The sequence below is a fragment of the Homo sapiens genome, chromosome 6, assembly GCF_000001405.40.
Source record: "Homo sapiens chromosome 6, GRCh38.p14 Primary Assembly".
NCBI classification, from domain to species: domain Eukaryota; kingdom Metazoa; phylum Chordata; class Mammalia; order Primates; family Hominidae; genus Homo; species Homo sapiens.
This window is the reverse complement of record NC_000006.12, coordinates 73442376-73464632: the sequence shown is the minus strand read 5'-3', so window position 1 is coordinate 73464632 and position 22257 is coordinate 73442376. Positions and strand designations below refer to the sequence as shown.

Genomic DNA, 22257 nt, shown 5'->3' with positions numbered 1-22257 from the left:
TAATTTTCTATTTTTAATAGAGACAGGGTTCCTCCATGTTGGTCAGGCTGGTCTCGAACTTCCGACATCAGGTGATTTGCCCGCCTTTGCCTCCCAAACTGCTGGGATTACAGGCATGAGCCACCATGCCCAGACAAGACCTCCACAAGTTTTAATGGTCTCCACAGGGAGACTGGATAGCACTGTGATTATGAGCATGAAGTGTCATTATGAGGAGTGTGTGTGAAAGAGATATCTGGCTCAATTTCTAGACCTACCACTTATGAGCTCTGTGATCATGGCAAGTTACCTAACATACCTTAGTCTCTCTACTGTAAAAACAGGAATGACAGCTGTGGTAGATTATTTTCCTCCTTCTTCCTTTGAAATAGAAGACTCCTGGGCTCCCCAAATGCTGGGATTACAAGCGTGAGTAATCACCCCTGGCCTAGGTCTTTATTTTATTATTATTTTTTAAAAATATGGAACACTTCACAAATTTGTGCATCATCCTTGTGCAGGGGCTATGCTAATCCCTATATCATTCCAACTTTAGTTTATGTTGTTGCCAAAGCAAGCACTAGGTCTTTATTTTTTAAAAATATAAACAACAGGCCAGGTGTGGTGGCTCACACCTGTAATCCCAGCACTTTGGGAGGCTGACACGGGTGGATCACCTGAAGTCAGGAGTTGGAGACCAGCCTGGCCAACATGATGAAACCCCATCTCTACTAAAAATACAAAAAATTAGCTGGGCGTGGTGGCAGACTCCTCTAATCCCAGCCACTTGGGAGGCTGAGGCAGGAAATCGCTTGAACCCGGGAGGTGGAGGTTGCAGTGAGCCAAGATCGCGCCACTGCATTCTAGCCTGGTCAACAACAGCAAAACTCTGTCTCAAAAATGAAAGAAAAGAAAAGAAAAAACCCACCTGAATGTATGATGAGAAAAGTATAATCTTTTAGGAAATCATATAGCCTCCTCTCCCCCACCCACAAAACCGCAGTTAATAGTATATATTTCTTCACAGTTATGAGCTGAATGGTTATTTTAAAGAAGAATTTCAGGAATAAATAAGTGATTTATTCACAACTTTTACAAAACAAGTAAATATTCTAATTACTGCTCGCTCCTAAGCAAAAGGAAGGAGGAAAGACAAAAGTATACATAATTTACAAGTTGATGTTTTAGCTAGTATCTATCATGATGCTACAGAACGGCCATCCAACCATTACCCATTAGAGCAAAAAAAGTACTGTCCAGTACTAAACACAAAATCCAGGGACGACAACCCAGAAGGAATATAGGATGCAAAAGGTAGCATGGCGCTGGGCACGGTGGCTCATGCCTGTAATCCCAGCATTTTGGGAGGCCGAGGCGGGCGGATCACAAGGTCAGGAGATCGAGACCATCCTGGCTAACATGGTGAAACCCCGACTCTACTAAAAATACAAAGAAAAAAAAAATTAGCCGGGCGTGGTGGTGGGTGCCTGTAATCCCAGCTACTCGGGAGGCTGAGGCAGGAGAATGGCATTAACCCGGAAGGCGGAGCTTGCAGTGAGCCGAGATGGCGCCACTGCACTTGAGCCTGTGTGACAGTGCAAGACTCTGTCTCAAAAGAAAAAAAAAAAAAAAAGGTAGCATGGTTCTTCCAAAAGGCATCACAAAATCTTGACAGAAACACAAAGATCAGGCTGGGCAGAGTACTGAGCACCTGCAATCCCAGCTACTGGTTAGGCAGAGGCAGGAAAAGTTCTTGAGTCCAGAAAGCGGAGCCTGTAATGTGCAACGATCGTGCCTATGAGTAGTCACTGCACTCCAGCCTGGGCAACATGGCGAGACCCTGTCTCTAAAAAAATGTTTTTAAATAAAAACACAAGAACCGTTTAATAAAGGATTTTTTTATTTTATTAATATTATCATTATTTTGAGACGGAGTTTTGCTCTTTTGCCCAGGCTGGAGTGAAGTGGCGCAATCTCGGCTCACTGCAACCTCTGCCCCCGGGTTCAAGCGATTCTCCTGCCTCAGACTCCCGAGTAGCTGGGATTATAGGCGCCCGCCACCATGCCCGGCTAATTTTTGTATTTTTAGTAGAGACGGGGTTTCGCCGTGTTGGCCAAGCTGGTCTCAAACTCCTGACCTCAGGTGATCCACCTGCCTTGGCATCCCAAAGTGCTGGGATTAAAGAAGTGAGCCACTGCACCTGGCCATAAACCATTGTTAATAATGTTAATTCACCCTTTATCTGGAGTAACATAGTAGAAGGTAAACGCAGCAATGAACTAAGAAGCTACCAGCGAGTAGTTGGTAGCTCCCTTTCCCAAGGCACTGACCCCGAACCCCAACCTCCTACAACGGACGACTGTCAGCAGCAGCATAATCTATGGTTCGCAGAATAGACTAATATAGAGTTCTGGCCTGGCCCGCCTGATCCTTGCGAGACACTGATCGAGGCTAAAACCACAGAAGGTAGGATTCTCACTAGCTTTGAGGAAAGGAAGAGGTCCCCCGCTTCAGACCGGGGGAGGCGGGAAGGAAGCAGCCTGCGTCCTACGCCAAGTTCCACAGCACCCGCGCTCCTCACCGATCGTGTCCACGCGGTGAGTGAGGAGCAGAGTCCGAGAGCCGCACCGAGCGGCGGCGGTGGCTGCCTCAGTCCCGGCATGTCCTCCACCAATGACTATCACGTCGAAGTGCGGAGTCCGGGGCGCCGCGCTGTCACTGCTCAACCGTGCCAACGGAAATTGCTGCTTGGTGAAGGAAACCGCGACCCAACGGCCACAGCCTCGGAAGTAGAACATGCTGGGAGAAAAATCTATCTGACTTTGAAGCTGACACGAGTGACGGTCAAAAAAACTTACGCAACAAGAGACAATCTGCAGGGCGCGGCCATCTTGCTTTAATATCACGGGGTAGGACGTCTACGTCCAGCGTCGCCGCTGATTGGCGGTTTGGAGCTACTTTCCTGGTGAGGGAGATGGGTGATCGCACGGAGGGCCGGTTGTGTATTTTCTTTCCTAGTTCGTGCGGGCTTTTTTTATTATTATTATTTTTTATTTTTATTTATTTATTTATTTATTTATTTATTTATTTATTTATTTATTTATTTATTTATTTATTTTGAGACAGAGTCTCGCTCTGTTGCCCAGGCTGGAATGCAGTGGCGCGATTTCGGCTCACTGCAAGCTCCCCCTCCCGGGTTCGCGCCATTCTCCTGCCTTAGCCTCCGAGTAGCTGGGGCTACAGGCGCCCGCCACTACGCCCGGCTAATTTTTTGTATTTTTAGTAGAGACTGGGTTTCACCGTATTAGCCAGGATGTTCTCGATTTCCTGACCTCGTGATCCGCCCGTGCGGGCTTTTTTTGATTTCCTGTGGTTCTGGGTTGGGAGCTCCTACTAAAGGTCATCTTTTGTACTTTCTTAGGCCCTGCAGTCCTTATCGCCAGGTGGCCACCTACGATCAATGAATTTGATCACTTTGCCTTATCAGATCTTTGTGATCTGACAATCTGATACACCGTCACCTTCTGTTTGTCTATAAAAACTAAGGGCTGAAAATAAGAATAGATTCGGGCCGGGCGCGGTGGCTCACGCCTGTATTCCCAGCACTCTGGGAGGCCGAAGCAGGTGGATCACAAGGTCAGGAGATGGAGACCATCCTGGTCAACATGGTGAAACCCCATCGCTACTAAAAAAAAAAAAAAAAAAAAAAAAAAAAAAAATTAGCCGGGAGTGGTGGCATGCACCTGTAATCCCAGCTACTCAGGAGACTGAGGCAGGAGAATCGCTTGAACCTGGGAGGCCGAGGTTGCAGTGAACCAAGATTGTGCCACTGCACTCCAGCCTGGGCGACAGAGCAAGACTCCGTCTCAAAAAAAAAAAAAGAAAAAGAAAAGAAAAAGAATAGATTCGAAAGGAGTTCAAATATATTTGTGGACTGAAAGATTCATGATGGTGCCTGGGCATGGTGGATCACGCCTGTAATCCTAGCACTTTGGAAGGCCGAAGGGGGCAGATTGCCTGAGCTCAGGAGTTCGAGACCAATCTGGGCAACATGGTGAAACCCCGTCTGTACTAAAATACAAAAAAAAAAATTAGCCAGGTGTGGTGGCATGCACCTGTAGTCCCAGCTACTTGGGCGGCTGAGGCAGGAGAATTGCTTGAACCCGTAGGCAGAGGTTGCAGTGAGCCGAGATCGTGCCACTGCACTCCAGCCTGGCGACAAGAGTGAGACTCTGTCTCAAAAAAAAAAAAAAGAGAGAGAGAGATTCATGATGGCTAATTGGTTAATTAGAAGAATCGGTTGGTTGGAGGTTAAATGTCCAGCCTTTTGGAATTCACAGCCTTTCTCAATTCACAGCCTTTCTCAGAAAGGCAACGTTTGACTGGAGAATAAAACAAGTGTGGTATTGCAGGATCTGGCCAGCAGCCCACAATGCAATGGGGCTCTTTCTTTGTTCCCAGGCGGATTGGCAGGTCGAGAAATAATAGACACACAGAAGATATTGAAAGCTGGGTCCAGGGGGGTCACTGCCTTCTGGTCCTGCAATGCTGCTAATACACTGGATATACCAGCATTTATTATTAAGTTTAGTGAGGGCAGGGGTAGGTTAGTGAGGGATTTAGGGTCATTTGATTATGAGGTGAGATGGTCACATGGGGATGAAGTAATTCTTTAACATAACATCTGTATGCAGAAGTACAGTATACAGAGATAAGAATTTACAATATATTGTGTGCATCAGTAATTTCTAACAGAGCCTTAAAACAGAAACAGTCTTTCCATAACCTATGATTAGCAAGATATTAATCAGCAGTAACAGTTGCAGCAAAAGCTGGTTACAAACAATCCATAGAAACAGGATGTGAAGCTAGACAATCAGTTAGACCAGAAATTCTCAGAAGGGAGTATGCCTTAACCCTAAAAAGGCCTAGAAGAGCCGTGGCAAGATGAGGGCATTTATAGCCCTATCTTACCCACAGGGACAGGCGCCCCTCATGCGTCCGTTTAGAGGCTTTCCACAAGGGTTGCATTCCATTCCCAGAGCTATGAACATCTGCTTTTCTGGGATAGGAATCTTGGTGATGCACGTCCGTTCATAGGCTCTCTGCAGGGGGAAGCACATCACCCGCTGTTGGCTCATTCTGGCAGTCCAACCTGGCATTCTCTTTACACAATCCTGCATGCAACTTTGTATTTACAATAATCAGGAGCATTTCATCTTTTATTCCGTAGCAATAGTTTCAGGGGTCTCCCTACAGTGTGGCAGTTTTATTGTTCTAATTATAAAAAGTATTAAATACATAGGCCGGGAGTGGTGGCTCACACCTGTAATCCCAACACTTTGGGAGGCCAAGGTGGCGGATCACTTGAGTCCACCAGGAGTTTGAGACCAGCCTGGCCAATATGGCGAAACTCTATCTCTACTAAAAATAGAAAAATTAACCTGGCATGGTGCTGCGTGCCTGCAGTCCCAGCTACTCAGGAGGCTGAGGCAGGAGAATTGCTTGAACCCAGGAGGCACAGGTTGCAGTGAGCCCAGATGGTGCCATTGCACTCAAGCCTGGGTGACTGAGACCCTGTCTCAAAAAAACAAAACAAAAACCCTTAAAACAAAAAACAGTAAACATTATTTCTTTTCTTTATTTTTTTTTAATAGGATCTCCTTCTGTTGCCCAGGCTGGAGTGCAGTGGCGCTATCATGGCTCACTGCAACCTCCGCCTCCTGGGCTCAAGTGATCCTCCCACCTCCATCTCCCAAATAGCTGGGACCACAGATGTGGGTGGACACTAGGCCTGGCTAATTTGGTTTCTTTGTTGTTGTTTTTTGTTTGTTTGTTTGTAGACATGGGGTTGAGGGAGGGAGTGTCTCACTATGTTGCCCAGGTTGGTCTTGAACTCCTGGCCTAAAGCCTCCCAAAGTGCTGGGATTACAGGTGTGAGCCCTGCTCCCAGCCTATTTTTGATATTTTTTTCTTTAAATTTTTTTTTTCGCTTTCTGCAACTTCGGTTAAATATTTTTTAATAAAAATTAGATCATAGTGTGTGCATTGTTTTGTAATCTATTCTTTACTTAATAATCATGAACACTTTTCTATCCAAAAAAAATAACAATAAGACATAAGGAAACTCTAGATGATACCTTAGGGATGAGGGAAAGTATCCAAAAATTAAAGTGGGAAGGCGTTCATATCTCAAGTACAGAAAGCCTTTAGAAAGCATGTGCAGTGCAAAGTGGGGGGTTTACAGAGGAAGAAGCAGCTCTGTGTAGACCTCCTGGGCCACAGGTGGGCTTCACAGAGGGGCTTGCAAAAGGATCAGCTTCTGGGGTATGATTCTCTGGCCCAGGCAGCTGTATGCAGGCAAGGTGGGAATTTTAGTTTCTCTGTCTAGAAGGCTGTGGACAGGTTATAGATAGGTCAAGGCTCCAAAGTCACAGGGAGATCACTTTCTGGGCTTATGACTGAGGTAGGCTCTACCAGATGTTCTCATACCCAAGGCTGACTAGAGATAAACATGAGGCATACAGAGTAAGATGTAATCCCAGCATTTTGGGAAGCCAGTGTGGGCATATCACTTGAAGCCAGGAGTTCAAGACCAGCCTGGACAGCATGGTGAAACCTCATCTCTACTAAAAATACAAAAATTAGCCAGGGTGGTGGCGTGTGCCTGTAATCCCAGCTACTTGGGAGGCTGAGGTACGAATTGCTGCAATGAGCTGACATTGCACTGCTGCACTCCAGCTTGGGTGGCAGAGTGAGATGCTGTCTCAGAAAAAAAAAAAAAAAAGAAGTGGTAAAGTCAACTAGATAAAATATATACCCACAAATAAATTTCCTGGGGTTTCCTACTAGATAAAATCCAAGTTCCACATCAAGACTCAACTAAACAGTCATTTTCTCTGTGATTTGGACACTGATTGCTGCAGAAAGGTTGAATAAAGAATGAGTTCTCCTCCTTTGGTAGGCCAATAGTAGAGATATTTGATCTGGCCCAGTGGATTGTTGCTTGCAGCTTCTGGTTAAAGAAACCACCAGTGACTTAAGGGGACTTTAGAAACTGATGGAAGAGAGCATTTATTTTATTTTATTATTTTTTTTTTTTTGAGACGGAGTCTCGCTCTGTCTCCCAGTCTGGAGTGCAGTGGCGTGATCTCGGCTCACTGCAACCTCCGCCTCCCAGGTTCAAGCAATTCTCCTGCCTCAGCCTCCCATGTAGCTGGGACTATGGGTGCCGGCCACCACGCAAGGCTAATTTTTGTATTTTTAGTAGAGACCATATTGGTCAGGCTGGTCTCAAACTCCCGACCTCAGGTGATCCACCCACCTTAGCCTCCCAAAGTGCTGGGATTACAGGCGTGAGCCACCGCGCCCGGCTGAGAGCATTTATTTTTATGTATTTTTTTTTTGAGATGGAGTCTTGCTCTGTTGCCCAGGCTGGAGTGCAATGGCGCCATCTTGGCTCACTGCAACCTCCACCTCCCAGGTTCAATCAATCCTCCTGCCTCAGCCTCCGGAGTAGCTGGGATTACAGGGGCCCACCACCACGCCCATCTAATTTTTGTATTTTTAGTAGAGACAGGTTTCACCATCTCGCCCAGGCTGGTCTCGAACTCCTGACCTTGAGATCTGCCCGCCTCAGCCTCCCAAAGTGCTGGGATTACAGGAGTGAGCCACTGCACCCAGCCCGGAAGAGAGCACTAAACTAACTGTAGAGTCATTTACAGGATTTCATGACAAGCAGCTGAAGTCCTTGGAGAAAACAAACAGAACCATAGAGCAGAGGCCCTCAGAATGTGGTAGTTACCCCTGAACATCCTGGAAGACTATCCAGATGCACTTGTAGTTTCTTTTTTTTTTCTTTTTTCTTTTTTTTTTTTTTTTGGCGACAGAGTCTCACTCTGTCGTCTAGGCTGGAGTGCATTGGCATGATCTCAGATCACTGCCACCTCTGCCTCCTGGGTTCAAGCGATTCTCCTGCCTCAGCCTCCCAAGTAGCTGGGATTACAGGCATGCACCACCACACCTGGCTAATTTTTGTGCTTTTAGTAGAGATGGGGTTTCACCATGTTGGCCAGGCTGGTCTTGAACTCCTGACCTCAGGTGATCTGCCTGTGTGGATCTGCCAAACTGCTGGGATTACAGGCATGAGCCACCACACCTGGACAGCTCTTGCAGTTTCAAGGAAATGGATTTCCACATTTCAACTTCCATTTTACTCTTCCCTGAAATTGGCTGGCTTGGGAACAAGTCTGACTATGCAATGGTCCTCCTTCTATTTCTCCTCCTTATATATTTCACAAGAGAAAAATACACCTTTCTGGCATCCTAATTCAAACTACGGCTCATTGCTCCAGGGTGGTAAAAATCTCTTTGAACTTAACAGAAGGATATATAAAAATACTTGTTTCAGGGAAATCTTTTTAAAAAGTAAGGCATTTTTGTCCTTTGACAGGTGAATGGATAAACAAAATGTGATATATACATACAAAGCAATATTATTCAGCCCTAAAACGGAAGGAAATTCTTGCAACATAGATGAACATTGGCTAAGAGTGATAAGCCAGTAACAAAAAGACAAACGTTGCATCATTTCACTGACATAAAGTACTTAGAGCAGTCAAAATCACAGTCAGAAAGTATAATGGTGGTTGCCAGGGGCTAGAGAGAGGAGAGAAAGATGAGTTATTGTTTATGGGTACAGAGTTTCAGTTTTGCAAGATGAAGAGTTTTGAAGACAGATGATAGTGATGGTTGCATAGGAATGTGAACATACTTAATATCATTGAATTATACACCCCCCAAAAATGGTTCAAATAGTACAAAGAAAAAAAAAGTAGTCAAGGCTTTCTAAACCCAAGAGGTTCTTGTCTAATATGCATTTCTTTTATTATTATTATTTTTTTTTTTTAGACAGAGTCTCATTCTGTTGCCCAGGCTGGAGTGCAGTGGCAGGATCTCACTCACTGCAACCTCTGCCTCCTGGGTTCAAGCTATTCTCCTGCCTCAGCCTCCCGAGTAACTGGGATCACAGACATGTGCCATCACACCCGGCTAATTTTTTGTATTTTTAGTAGAGACAAAGTTTCATCATGTAGGCCAGGCTGGTCTTGAACTCCTGATCTCAGAAGATCTAGGGCTCCTGAAGTGCTGGGATTATAGGCATGAGCCACTGCGCCTGACCTCTAATATGCATTTCTATCAGGGGCTTTAGAAATAGATACTTGAAGGCCAGGCAAGGTGGCTCACGCCTGTAATCCCAACACTTTGGGAGGCCAAAGGGGGCAGATCACCTGAGGTCAGGAGTTCGAGACCAGCCTGGTCAACATGGTGAAACCCCGTCTCTACTAAAAAGGTAAAAAAATTAGCTGGGTGTGGTGGCAGGCGCCTATAATCCCAGCTACTCAGGAGGTTGAGGCAGGAGAATCGCTTGAACCCAGGAGGCGGAGGTTACAGAGAGCCGAGATAGCACCATTGCACTCCAGCCTGGACAACAAAAGTGAAACTCCATCTCGAAAAAAAAAAAAAGATATTTGAAAGCCTGTATTGAGATACTCTAGAATCACAACAGCTGAAGCAGTATGAATGATTTAAAATGTAAATGCCAGGTCCGGTGCAGTGGCTCATGCCAGTAACAGCACTTTGGGAGGCTGAGGCGGGCAGATAGCTTGTTGGGGACCAGCCTGGGCAACATGGTGAAACCACATTTCTACAAAACCATACAAAAATTAGCTGGGCATGGTGGGGCACGCCTGTAGTCCCAGCTGCGCAAGAGGCTGAGTCACGAGAATCTCTTGAACCCGGGAGGCGGAGGGTGTGGTGAGCTGAGATTGTACCATTGCACTCCAGCCTGGGCAACAAGAGCAAAACTCCGTCTCAAAAATGAATAAAATAAAATAAAATAAAAAGAGAGAACTTTACACAACTTTTTTTCCCCCTGAGACAGAGTCATTTGCCCTGTCGCCCAGGATGGAGTGCAGTGGTCTGATCTCAGCTCATTACCACCTCCGCTTTCCCGATTCAAGCAATTCTCCCGTCTCAGCCTCCCCAGTAGCTGGGTTTACAAGCATGGCCCACCACACCTGGCTAATTTTTGTATTTTTAGTAGAGATGGGTTTTCACCATGCTGGACAGGCTGGTCTTGAACTCCTGACCTCAAGTGATCCACCCACCTTCGCCTTCCAAAGTGCCGGGATTATAGGCGTGAGTCACCGCACCAGGCAGAAACTTTACACAACATTTTAAAGATTTTCTGTGCTTTTTAAAAAATGTCAAATAGAAGTATTTACTCCAATTGCAGTCAATCTTTGTTTCATTCCATCTTGTAAAAGTTGAATATTTTCTCTTTCTTATTTTTTTCTTTTTTCAAAGTATTTTTCATTTGTTATTAATTTTTTTCTTTTTAAAAATTATTATTTTATTTCTTATTGATTTTTAAAAAACCCTATTTAAATTTACATTGAAAAAGTTGGCCGGGCGCTGAGGCTCATGCCCGTAATCCCAACAGTTTGGGAGGCCGAGGCAGGTGGATCACGAGATAAGGAGTCCCAGACCAGCCTGGCCAATATGGTGAAACTCCTTTCTACTAAAAATACAAAAATTAGCCGGGCATGGCGGCGCACACCTGTAGTCCCAGCTACTTCGGAGGCTGAGGCAGGAGAATCGCTTGAATCCGGGAGGCAGAGGTTACAGTGAGCCGAGATCGTGCCACTGCACTCCAGCCTAGGGGACAGAATGAGACTCCATCTCAGGAAAAAAAAAAAAAAAAAGGGAAAAGTTTCTGGCCAGGCGCCGTGGCTCACGCCTGTAATCGCAGCACTTTGGGAGGCCGAGGCGGGTGGATCACTTGAGGTCAGCAGTTTGAGAGCAGCCTGGCCAACATAGCGAAACCCCGTCTCTACTAAAAATACGAAAAATTAGCCGGGCGTGGTGGCGGGCGTCTGTAATCCCAGCTACCCGGGAGGCTGAGGTAGGAGAATTGCTTGAACCCAGGAGGCAGAGGTTGCAGTGAGCCAAGATCGCACCATTGCACTTCGGCCTGGGTGACAAGAGCGAAATTCTGTCTCAAAAAAAAAAAAAAAAAAAAAGAAAGAAAGAAAGAAAAGAAAAAGAAAAAAAAGAAAAGAAAAAGTTTCTGTGGCAGGGCACAGTGGCTCATGCCTACAATCCCAACACTTTGGGAGGTTGAGGAGGGAGAATCGCTTGAGTCTAGGAGTTCGAGACCAGCCTGGGCAACATAGTGAGACCTCCCCATGTATACAAAAAAATTAAAAAGAAAAGAAAAAGCTGGGCATGGTGTCCGCACCTGTAGTAACAGCTACTCAGGATGCTGAGGTGGGAGGATCGCTTGAGCCCTGGTGGCTGAGGTTGCAGTGAGCCGAGATTGCGCCCCCCTAACTCAAACCAAAATTAAATTTAAAAAAACTTTCACTTGAAAGAGAAAAGTTTCTCTGTCAATGTTTTTGTTTTGTTTTGTTTTGTTTTGTGATGGACTCTTTTTCTGTTGCCCAGGCTGGAGTGCAGTGGCGCGATCTCGGCTCACTGCAACCTCTGCCTCCCGGGTTCAAGCAGTTCTCTGTCTCGGCCTCCCGAGTAGATGGGACTACAGGCGCCACCAAGCCCGGCTAATTTTTTGTATTTTTAGTAGAGACGGGGTTTCACCATGTTGGCCAGGAAGGTCTCGATGTCTTGGCCTCGTGATCCGCCCGCCTCGGCCTCCCAAACTGCTGAGATTACAGGCGTGAGCCACCACGCCTGGCCTCTTTTTCTTTTTTGAGACAGAGTCTCGCTCTGTCGCCCAGGCTGGAGTGAAGTGGCACGTCTCAGCTCACTGCAACCTCCGCCTCCCGGGTTCAAGTGATTCTCCAGCCTCAGCCTCCCGAGTAGCTGGGATTACAGGTGCCCGCCACCACGCCTAGCTAATATTTGTATTTTTTAGTAGAGACGGGGTTTCTTTCGCCTTGTTGGCCAGGCTGGTCTTGAACTCCTGACCTCAGGTGATCCGCCCACCTCGGTCTCCCAGATTGCTGGGATTACAGGCGTGAGTCAGTGTGCCCAGGCAACACACACACACACATATATTTAATTATAAGAAAGACCAGGTCTTGCTGGGTTGCCCAGGCTGGTCTCAAACTCCTGAGCTCAAGCGACCCGCCTGCCTCGGCCTCTCGGATGCTGAGGTTACAGGCGTGAGCCACCGCGCCCGGCCCTACCTCATCTTCTTAAGACAGGGGCACGGATTGCCTGGAGAGTTAGAAACTTCGAGACTTTTGTAGCCTCAGGAAAGGCCGCGGCCAGCCTCTTCGCGGCATGGGCGTGGCTCCCAGCGACTTCCCAGCCTGGGGTTCCCCTTCGGGTCGCAGACTCTTGTGTGCCCGCCAGTAGTGCTTGGTTTCCAACAGCTGCTGCTGGCTCTTCCTCTTGCGGCCTTTTCCTGAAACGGATTCTTCTTTCGGGGAACAGAAAGCGCCAGCCATGCAGCCTTGGCACGGAAAGGCCATGCAGAGAGCTTCCGAGGCCGGAGCCACTGCCCCCAAGGCTTCCGCACGGAATGCCAGGGGCGCCCCGATGGATCCCACCGAGTCTCCGGCTGCCCCCGAGGCCGCCCTGCCTAAGGCGGGAAAGTTCGGCCCCGCCAGGAAGTCGGGATCCCGGCAGAAAAAGAGCGCCCCGGACACCCAGGAGAGGCCGCCCGTCCGCGCAACTGGGGCCCGCGCCAAAAAGGCCCCTCAGCGCGCCCAGGACACGCAGCCGTCTGACGCCACCAGCGCCCCTGGGGCAGAGGGGCTGGAGCCTCCTGCGGCTCGGGAGCCGGCTCTTTCCAGGGCTGGTTCTTGCCGCCAGAGGGGCGCGCGCTGCTCCACGAAGCCAAGACCTCCGCCCGGGCCCTGGGACGTGCCCAGCCCCGGCCTGCCGGTCTCGGCCCCCATTCTCGTACGGAGGGATGCGGCGCCTGGGGCCTCGAAGCTCCGGGCGGTTTTGGAGAAGTTGAAGCTCAGCCGCGATGATATCTCCACGGCGGCGGGGATGGTGAAAGGGGTTGTGGACCACCTGCTGCTCAGACTGAAGTGCGACTCCGCGTTCAGAGGCGTCGGGCTGCTGAACACCGGGAGCTACTATGAGCACGTGAAGGTGAGCTGCTTGGCGCCCTCCCGCCGAGCCCCGCTGCTCGGCCTTCCGCAATCCGCAGTCCCTACCTTCCCCGGGTCGCGCCCCTCACTTCCCTTCGGAAGTAACTTAGACTTTTGCATGTTTTTCGGTAGCCTAGTCTAAGTAAAACGACAAACCGTTCGTTTATTCATCTACACATCCAACGATCAGACAACCAACCGGTACTGATTGCTGGCTAATTTCAAGACACTGCTCCCGGGGGAATTCAAATGTATGGGTTCATTCATGCAAGCCGACATGTATCGAGTTTCCGTAACAGGGCAGTGTTTGATGGTGTGGACCTGAGGTCCCGAGTCAGATATTGACTTGGATAATTTGAAGTGGTCTGTTAAAAATTCCACGTAGACTTTTTCCTATGAGGAAGACCTCTTACTCCATAGAAAAAAAGATCTTCAGTTTCTCTCCCCCTCTTCCTCCCTGCCCCCTCTCCTGCTATCCCGTCTGACCCCAATTTCTTTTTTTTCTTTTTTCTTTTCTTTTCTTTTTTTTTTTTTTTGAGGCGGAGTCTCGCTGCGTCCCCCAGGCTGGAGTGCAGTGGCGCTATCTCGGCTCACTGCAAGCTCCGCCTCCCGGGTTCACGCCATTCTCCTGCCTCAGCTTCCCGAGTAGCTGGGACTACAGGCGCCCGCCACCATGCCCGGCTAATTTTTTTTGTATTTTTAGTAGAGACGGTGTTTCACCGTGTTAGCCAGGATGGTCTCGATCTCCTGACCTCTTGATTCGCTCGTCTCGGCCTCTCAAAGTGCTGGGATTACAGGCGTGAGCTACCGCGCCCGGCCGTCTGTCCCCAGTTTCTTACACAGAAATCATGGGAAGCTTACAGTATAATGTTAAACAAACAAATAAGAATATCTCCTACAGATACTAAAACGCTTTCTAGATACACATTCCGTATAATTGCTTCGACGTGTGTATTACACAGCTCCATTTGCTTGTGGGTGATTGAGTCATTAATCATTCCTGTGTAAATTGAAAGTTTAGAAGCAGGTTCCTGACTGGAGCGTGTTTCTTGCCCAGCAAGAGATTTGTTTCTTTTTCTTTTTCTTTCTTTCTTTCTTTTTTTTTTTTTTGAGACGGAGTTTCGCTCTTGTTACCCAGGCTGGAGTGCAATGGCGCGATCTCAGCTCACCTCAACCTCCACCTCCCAGGTTCAAGCGATTCTCCTGTCTCAGCCTCCTGAGTAGATGGGATTACAAGCATGAGCCTCCACCCTGGCTAATTTTGTATTTTTAGTAGAGACGGGCTTTCTCCATGTTGGTCAGGCTGGTCTAGAACTCCCGACCTCAGGTGATCTGCCAGCCTCAGCCTCCCAAAGTGCTGGGATTACAGGCGTGAGCCACCACACCCGGCTTCTTTTCTCTTCTTTTTTCTCTTCTCTTCTCTTCTCTCTATCTCTCTGTCTCTCTCTTTTCCTCCCTCCCTCTCTTCCTCTCTCTCTCTCTCTCTTTATTTTGTTCTTTCTTTCTTTTCTTTCTTCTTTCTTCTTTTTTTGATGGAGTTTCACTCTTGTTGCCCAGGCTGTAGTGCAGTGGTGCCATCTAGGTTTCGCTGCAACCTCCGGCTTCCAGGTTCAAGCGATTCTCCTGCTTCAGCCTTCCAAATAGCAGGGATTACAGGTGCCTGCCCCCACTCCCGGCTAATTTATGTATTTTTAGTAGAGACGGGGTTTCACCATGTTGGCCAGGCTGGTCTCGAACTCTGACCTCAGATGATCCACCTGCCTCGGCCTCCCTAAGTGCTGGGATTACAGGCTTGAGCCACGGCACCCAGCCCAGACTGTGTCTTGAGCATGATTCTTTTTAATTAACTAATTTACTTTTCAGCATCAGATATGTCTCTGATTGAGCATGATTCTTATTATGTAAGTATCAATTCAGTTCAATTACTGTATATGGCGGGTCCAAAGGAAAAAGAAAGTTACTAGTTAGAATTAGAGAACAAGACATTCAGAAGACAGTCTCCATTCAGAACCACTTTGTGTGTGTGTGTGTGTGTGTGTGTGTGTGTGTTTGAGACAGAGTCTCACTCTGTCACCCAGGCTGGAGTGCAGTGGCGCGATCTCGGCTCACTGCAAGCCCTGCCTACTGGGTTCACACCATTCTCCTGCCTCAGCCTCCCAAGTAGCTGGGACTACAGGCGCCCGCCACCATGCCCAGCTAATTTTTGTATTTTTAGTAGAGACGGGGTTTCACCGTGTTAGCCAGGCTGGTCTCTATCTCCTGACCTCATGATCTTCCCGCCTTGGCCTCCCAAAGTGCTGGGATTACAGGTGGGAGCCACCATGCCCAGCCCAGAACCACTTTGTTTTTAAAAATTATGCCAATGAAAAGAAATCCAGTGAAATTTGTTTTATCTAAAACTTTTTCTTTTTTTCTTTTTCTTTTTTCTTTTTTTTTGGGGATGGAGTCTTGCTCTGTCACCCAGGGTGGAGTGCAGTGATGTGATCTTGGCTCACTGTAACCTCCGCCTCCCGGGTTCAAGTGAGTCTCCTGCCTCAGCCTCCAGAGTAACTGGGATTACAGGCGGGCGTCACCTCACCTGGCTAATTTTGTATTTTTAGTAGAGATAAGGTTTCAGCATGTTGGCCAGGCTGGTCTCGAACTCCTGACCTCAAGTGATCCACCTGCATCAGCCTTTCAAAGTGCTGGGATTACAGGCGTGAGCCACTACACCCAGCCTAAAACTTTTTCTATTACTGATTATGAGATATATGTGGGCCAGGTACAGTGGACTCATGCCTGTGATCCTAGCACCATGGGAGGCTGAGGCGGGAGTTTGAGTCCAGCCTGGACAACATAGTGAGACCCCAGCTCTACCAAAAATAAGTTAAAAATTAACTGGATGTGGTGGCACACACAGGTAGTCCCAGCTACCTGGGACTACAAATTCTAGGTAAAAAAAAATCTCGAAAATACATGGGAAGTTTCTTGTAGAAATTCCCTGTAGAATTGTCAGTCCATATGTTCTTTTCATTCTAAGTGTTAATGTACTTTACTATTTATATAGTTTGGACTCAGTGAAAAGGTTACATAGAAATCAATTAATTGTAGTTTTTTTTGTTTGTTTGTTTTTTGTTTTGTTTTGTTTTGAGACAGAGTTTCACTCTTGTTGCCTGGGCTGGAGTACAATGGCGTGGGTGGCCTCAGCTCACTGCAACCTCTGCCTCCCAGGTTCAAGCGATTCTCCTGCCTCAGCCTCCCGAGTAGCTGGGATTACAGGAATGCACCACCATGCCTGGCTAATTTTTTGTGTTTTTAGTAGAGATGGGGTTTCTCCATGTTGGTAAGGCTGGTCTCAAACTCCTGACCTCAGGTGATCCACCCGTCTCAGCCTCCCAAAGTACTGGGATTACAGGCGTGAGCCACTGTGCCCGGCCAGTGGTTTTAAGTAATGGTATATTAACTGGTAAAGAAAAGGAACAAACTACAGCAACATGAACAGTGAAAATGAATTACATAAATAATGTTGAACAACAACAAAAAGAACGTAAAGGAATACATACAGCTGATGCAGCAAGACAAGGAAAATAAAGGCATAAGATGGGAAAAAGAGTGATGAAATCGTTATGTGTAGATGACTTGATTGGCTTCACATATAAACTGTTGGAAATAATTAGTAAATTAGCAAAATTGCTGGTTGCAAAGTCAATAAACAAAAATAAAAATATTTCAATATACTAACAAGATTAAAAACAAAATGAAAATACCATTTAGAATATCATCAAAAATATCAAACCTAGGTCCATTGGTGCATTCTGATAGTCCCAGCTATTTGGGAGGCCGAGGTGGGAGAATCACATCAAGTCAGGAGTTTGAGGCTGCAGTACACTATGATCTATCTGTGAGTAGCCACTGTACTCCAGCCTAGAGACCCCATCTCTAAAAAATAAAAATTGAAAACTTTGGCCAGGCATGGTGGCTCACGCCTATAATCCCAGCACTTTGGGAGTAGAGGCAGGCAGATCACTTGAGGTCAGGAGTTTGAGACCAGCCTGGTCAACATGGCAAAACCCTGTCTCTACTAAAACTACAAAAATTAGCTGGGCGTGTTGGTGCGCGCCTGTATTCCCAGCTACTTGGGAGGCTGAGGCAGGAGAATTGCTTGAGCCCAGGAAGCTGAGGTTGCAGTGAGCCAAGCTTGCTCCATTGCACTCCAGCCTCAGTGACAAGCGTGAAACTCTGTCTCAAAAAAAAACAAAAAACTGAAAACTTGAAAAACAATTTAAAAATCAAATATTTAGGAATAAATATCACTAAAGATATTCAAAACTTAAAAACATAACTGGGTAAATTTGAAGAGGAAGTAATTGACAACTATATCGTGTTCATTTTTCCTCAAATTGTTCTAGATTTAATGCAATCAGTTGAAATATGATCAGTTTTTTAAATTAAATTGACAAACTGATTAAAATATGTATTCATTTATTTTTTGAGACGGAGTCTCGCACTGTCGCCCAGGCTGGAGTGCAGTGGTACCATCTCGGCTCACTGCAACCTCCGCCTCCCGGGTTCAAGCAAGTCTCCTGCCTCAGCCTCCTGAGTAGCTGGAACTACAGGTGCATGCCACCACACCTAGCTAATTTTCATATTTTTAATAGAGACGAAGTTCCACCATGTTGGCCAGGATGGCCTTGATCTCTTGACCTTGTGATTCGCCTGCCTCGTCCTCCCAAAGTACTGGGATTACAAGCGTGAGCCACCGCGCCTGGCTGAAAGGACGATTTTTTTTTTTTTTTTTTTTTTTTTTTTTTTGAGACGGAGTCTCGCTCTGTCGCCCCGGCGGGACTGCGGACTGCAGTGGCGCAATCTCGGCTCACTGCAAGCTCCGCTTCCCGGGTTCACGCCATTCTCCTGCCTCAGCCTCCCGAGTAGCTGGGACTACAGGCGCCCGCCACCGCGCCCGGCTAATTTTTTTTTGTATTTTTAGTAGAGACGGGGTTTCACCTTGTTAGCCAGGATGGTCTCGATCTCCTGACCTCATGATCCACCCGCCTCGGCCTCCCAAAGTGCTGGGATTACAGGCGTGAGCCACCGCGCCCGGCCCGATTTTTTTTTTTCAATAAATAATGCTGGGTCAATTGGATATCTATGTAGGAAAAACATGAACCTTGATTCCCTACCACATATCATACACAAATTTTTTTTTTTTTTTTTTTTGAGATGGAGTCTTGCTCTGTTGCCCAGGCTGGAGTACAGTGACACTATTTTGGCTCACTGCAACATCTGCCTTCTAGGTTCAAGCAATTCTCCTGCTTCAGCCTCCTGAGTAGCTGGGATTACAGGCGCATGCCACTATGCCCGGCTAATTTTTGTATTTTTAGTAGAGACGGGGTTTCACCATGTTGGACCAGGCTGGTCTCGAACACCTGACCTCAGGTGAATCGCCCGCCTTGGCCTCCCAAAGTGCTGGGATTACAGGCATGAGCCACTGCACCTGGCCCCACAAAATTTAATTATAGGTGTGAGCCACTGCACTTGGCCTAAAATCATTTTTAGTTATAAAAATAATACTAGGTCATGGTAAAAAAAATTAATTGAGTGTAGAACCTACAAAATGAAACTGGTAATACTCTTCCACCTCCTGCCAGCTCCACTAGTCCCACTCCCAGAGGGTATATATAGACATTATGAATCTTGCTTTTTAAAGTAAAGTTTTAAGTGGAAATTTTTTAAAAAGTTCCAGTCACTTGGAAAATATTCATAAGCAAATATTTCAGTACTATTTTTACTGTTTCTTAGATTTCTGCACCTAATGAATTTGATGTCATGTTTAAACTGGAAGTCCCCAGAATTCAACTAGAAGAATATTCCAACACTCGTGCATATTACTTTGTGAAATTTAAAAGAAATCCGAAAGAAAATCCTCTGAGTCAGTTTTTAGAAGGTGAAATATTATCAGCTTCTAAGATGCTGTCAAAGTTTAGGAAAATCATTAAGGAAGAAATTAACGACATTAAAGGTAAGACTTTTGCCTTTTGATTCTTAAAGGTTTAATTATACCTAGTAATTGCCAATGTACACTCCCATTCTCATGTTTCTTGACCTCTCTGCAGTAAGAAAAAGTGCAGTAGAGAGGTCAAGAAACATCAGTAGAGGAGTGTACATTGGCAATTACTTATAATATGATTACAAGATTATAAAGTACAGAAGGGTAGAGGTCTTTATCTATTTGTTCTCTAATGAATCCTAAATAACTAGAACACCTACACATTAGATAATCAATGAATATTGATTAAATTAAATGATTAAATTATATGAAATAATCAATGAATATTTATTAAATTGATGGATAAATGAATCTACACTCTCTGCCTAGGTATTTCATCCATTCCCAATGCCACCTATATGATGATGACTCCCAAATGTTTACTTGCAGCCCAAATATATCCTTTGCACTCCAAACCTATATCCAGCTACGTCCTTAACATATCCACTTTGATGTTGATGTACCACAGGAATCTATAACCAAACATATCCAAAGCGAATAAACATAACTTAATTCATATACCAAACTATGTTTTGCCTCAGTCCTTCCCATCTCAGAAAATGGCACAATCAATCCACCCAGACGCACCATCCAGAAACCTGGGAACCATCTTAATTTAATCCTCTCTGTTACCCCCTACGCTTAATCCAGATGCAAGTGCTGCTACAGCTTGGACCTGTCTGCTGCTTCAATCCCAGCACCCTACTCCCACCCCACCTAAGCTGCCACCATCTTTTACCTGAACTATTACATCATTTTCCTTTCTAATCTCCCTATTTGCCTTCTTATAATATCTGTCCTTAGAAGCCAGAGTAAATGTTTTAAAATACAAAGCCAGTCATTACTCTCTGATGAAAACCTGGCTTCTCAATGATCAGATAATAAAATCTGGTGCCAGGCGCAGTGGCTCACACCTGTAATCCCAGCACTTTGGGAGGCTGAGGTGCGTGGATCACCTGAGCTCAGGAGTTTGAGACCAGCCTGGCCAACATGGAGAAACCCCATCTCTACTAAAAATACAAAAATTAGCCGGGTGTGGTGGCACATGTCTGTAATCCCAGCTACTTGGGAGGCTGAGGCAGGAGAATTGCTTCAACCTGGGAGGCAGAGGTTGCAGTAAGCCGAGATCGGGGCATTGCACTCCAGCCTGAGTGACAAGAGCGAAACTCCATCTCAAAATAAAATAAAATTAAATTAAATTAAATTAAAATCTGGCCAGGCGCAGTGGCTCACACCTGTAATCCCAGCACTTTGGGAAGCTGAGGTAGGTATATCACGAGGTCAGGAGTTCAAGACCAGCCTGGCTAAGATGGTGAAACCCCATCTATACTAAAAATACAAAAATTAGCCAGGCGTGGTGGTGGATGCCTGTAATCCCAGCTACTCGGGAGGCTGAGGCAGGAGAATCGCTTGAACCCGAGAGGTGGAGGTTGCAGTGAGCCGAGATCGTGCCACTGCACTCCAGCCTGGGCGACAGAGCAAGACTCCGTCTCAAAAATAAAATGAAATCTAAAGTCCTTTTCAGGGTCTACAAGTCAGTACAGAATCTGGTCCCTGGCTGCCTCTTCAGCTTCATTTCATATAACTTCATCTTTTCCGAAAGAGTCTCTTTTTGTTCCTAGATCTTTCCAAGCTCTTTTTTTCTGCCTCAGGGCTTGGCTCCACCACCCCATTCCACCCTAATTGCTATCACTTTTCCCAGTTTATTCCCTTCAGAGCACTCACTGCAATTTGTGTTGTATGTTATTACGCTATTAGATTAAGAGCTTTATCTTGCAAGCACAGACGTACAATTAATAACAAATGGAAAAAATGATTATCTTGTATACTGGAAAGTAGTAAGTGCTGTTGTGAAGAAGTATAGCAAAGTGAGAGGGATCAGGAATGTGGGAGATGGAGGTGGGGGGGAAGTTGCAATGTTAAGTAGAGTGGTAAGAAGAGAATTCCATTAGAGTTTGGGAAGAGCCAGGCGCCGTGGCTCACGCCTGTAATCCCAACACTTTGGGAGGCCGAGGCGGGTGGATCACGAGGTCAGGAGTTCAAGACCAGCCTGGCCAAGATGGTGAAACCCCGTCTTGACTAAAAATACAAAAAACTAGCCGGGCGTGGTGGCGGGTGCCTGTAATCCCAGCTACTTGGGAGGCTGAGGCAGAGAATTTCTTGAACCCAGAAGGCGGAGGTTGCAGTGAGCTGAGACCGCGCCACTGAACTCCAGCCTGGGCGACAGAGTGAGACCCTGTCTCAGAAAAAAAAAAAAAAAAAAAAGAGTTTGGGAAGAAGAGAATGAACAAAAGGAGACTATGAGTGTTTTGTAGAAGGAGCGGTCAGTGTTTGGAATGCTACTGACATCCAGAAATCCAATGGATTTGTTCTTTGGTCTTGTGGGGTTGACAAGAGAAATGTCAGTGGGGTGATGGACACAGAGTGAAAAGGCAGGGTTGCAGTGGAGATAACATGTGTAGGCCACTCTAGAAAGTTCTGTCTGGGCTAACTGTGGTGTCTCAGCACTTTGGGAGGCCAAGGCAGAAGGATTGCTTGAGCCCAGGAGTTCAAGACCAGCCTGGGCAACAAAGTGAGAGTCCATCTCTACAAAAAAAAATTTTAGGCCAGGTATGGTGGCTCATGCCTGTAATCCCAGCACTTTGGGAGGCCAAGGTGGGCGGATCACAAGGTCAGGAGTTCAAGACCAGCCTGGCCAAGATGATGAAACCCCGTCTGTACTAAAAATACAAAAATTAGCCAGGCGTGGTGGCAGACACCTATAATCATAGCTACTCAGGAAGTTGAGGCAAAAGAATTGCTTGAGCCTGGGAGACAGAGGTTGCAGTGAGCTGAGATTGCGCCACTGCACTCCAGCCTGAGCGACAGAGCAAGACTGTCTCAGAAAAAAAAAAAAAAAAAAAGAAAGAAAAAAGAAAAAAACATTTTTTTAATTAGCCAGGAGTGGTGGCATGTGCCTGTGGTCCCAGCTACATACGATGCTGAGGCAAGAGGATTGCTTGAACCTAGGAGGTTGAGGCTGCAGTGAGCCATGTTCACGCTACTGCACTCCAGCCTGGGTGACAGAACGGGACCCTGTCTCAAAAAAAAAAAAAAGTTTGGGCTGGAAGGAAGCAGAAAGATGG

At 46.4% G+C, this 22257-nt stretch overlaps 2 protein-coding genes and 1 pseudogene across 8 annotated transcripts in view, besides 7 other annotated features; 1 reads left to right on the top strand and 2 right to left on the bottom strand.

Moving 5' to 3' along the window:
* MTO1 (mitochondrial tRNA translation optimization 1) overlaps window positions 1-2896 on the bottom strand; it is a 47500-nt gene extending 44604 nt beyond the window's left edge. For all 6 annotated transcript variants that reach the window (NM_133645.3, NM_001123226.2, NM_012123.4 and 3 more), the window contains exon 1: window positions 2562-2896. In NM_133645.3, the coding sequence (NP_598400.1) occupies window positions 2562-2778 (217 nt within the window). In that variant the 5' untranslated portion in view covers window positions 2779-2896. The remainder of the gene's footprint in view (window positions 1-2561) is intronic.
* Window positions 456-560, bottom strand: RNU6-975P (RNA, U6 small nuclear 975, pseudogene; annotated as a pseudogene).
* Window positions 2058-2903: an enhancer, noted in NCBI's record as "NANOG-H3K27ac-H3K4me1 hESC enhancer chr6:74171453-74172298 (GRCh37/hg19 assembly coordinates)". NCBI's record gives its function as "activates a minimal SCP1, AML or CMV promoter by ChIP-STARR-seq in naive and primed H9 embryonic stem cells {active_cell/tissue: H9 hESC(naive and primed)}" and the evidence as "EXISTENCE:reporter gene assay evidence [ECO:0000049][PMID:30033119]".
* Window positions 2356-2405: an enhancer, noted in NCBI's record as "active region_24746". NCBI's record gives its function as "activates an Ori minimal core promoter by ATAC-STARR-seq in GM12878 lymphoblastoid cells {active_cell/tissue: GM12878}" and the evidence as "EXISTENCE:reporter gene assay evidence [ECO:0000049][PMID:35858748]".
* Window positions 2426-2485: an enhancer, noted in NCBI's record as "active region_24745". NCBI's record gives its function as "activates an Ori minimal core promoter by ATAC-STARR-seq in GM12878 lymphoblastoid cells {active_cell/tissue: GM12878}" and the evidence as "EXISTENCE:reporter gene assay evidence [ECO:0000049][PMID:35858748]".
* Window positions 2556-2885: an enhancer, noted in NCBI's record as "active region_24744". NCBI's record gives its function as "activates an Ori minimal core promoter by ATAC-STARR-seq in GM12878 lymphoblastoid cells {active_cell/tissue: GM12878}" and the evidence as "EXISTENCE:reporter gene assay evidence [ECO:0000049][PMID:35858748]".
* Window positions 3336-3395: a silencer, noted in NCBI's record as "silent region_17334". NCBI's record gives its function as "represses an Ori minimal core promoter by ATAC-STARR-seq in GM12878 lymphoblastoid cells {active_cell/tissue: GM12878}" and the evidence as "EXISTENCE:reporter gene assay evidence [ECO:0000049][PMID:35858748]".
* Window positions 12055-12534: an enhancer, noted in NCBI's record as "active region_24743". NCBI's record gives its function as "activates an Ori minimal core promoter by ATAC-STARR-seq in GM12878 lymphoblastoid cells {active_cell/tissue: GM12878}" and the evidence as "EXISTENCE:reporter gene assay evidence [ECO:0000049][PMID:35858748]".
* CGAS (cyclic GMP-AMP synthase) overlaps window positions 12336-22257 on the top strand; it is a 28587-nt gene continuing 18665 nt past the window's right edge. For both annotated transcript variants that reach the window (NM_001410911.1, NM_138441.3), the window contains exons 1-2: window positions 12336-13108; window positions 18886-19105. In NM_001410911.1, the coding sequence (NP_001397840.1) occupies window positions 12452-13108; window positions 18886-19105 (877 nt within the window). In that variant the 5' untranslated portion in view covers window positions 12336-12451. The remainder of the gene's footprint in view (window positions 13109-18885; window positions 19106-22257) is intronic.
* Window positions 12705-12914: a silencer, noted in NCBI's record as "silent region_17333". NCBI's record gives its function as "represses an Ori minimal core promoter by ATAC-STARR-seq in GM12878 lymphoblastoid cells {active_cell/tissue: GM12878}" and the evidence as "EXISTENCE:reporter gene assay evidence [ECO:0000049][PMID:35858748]".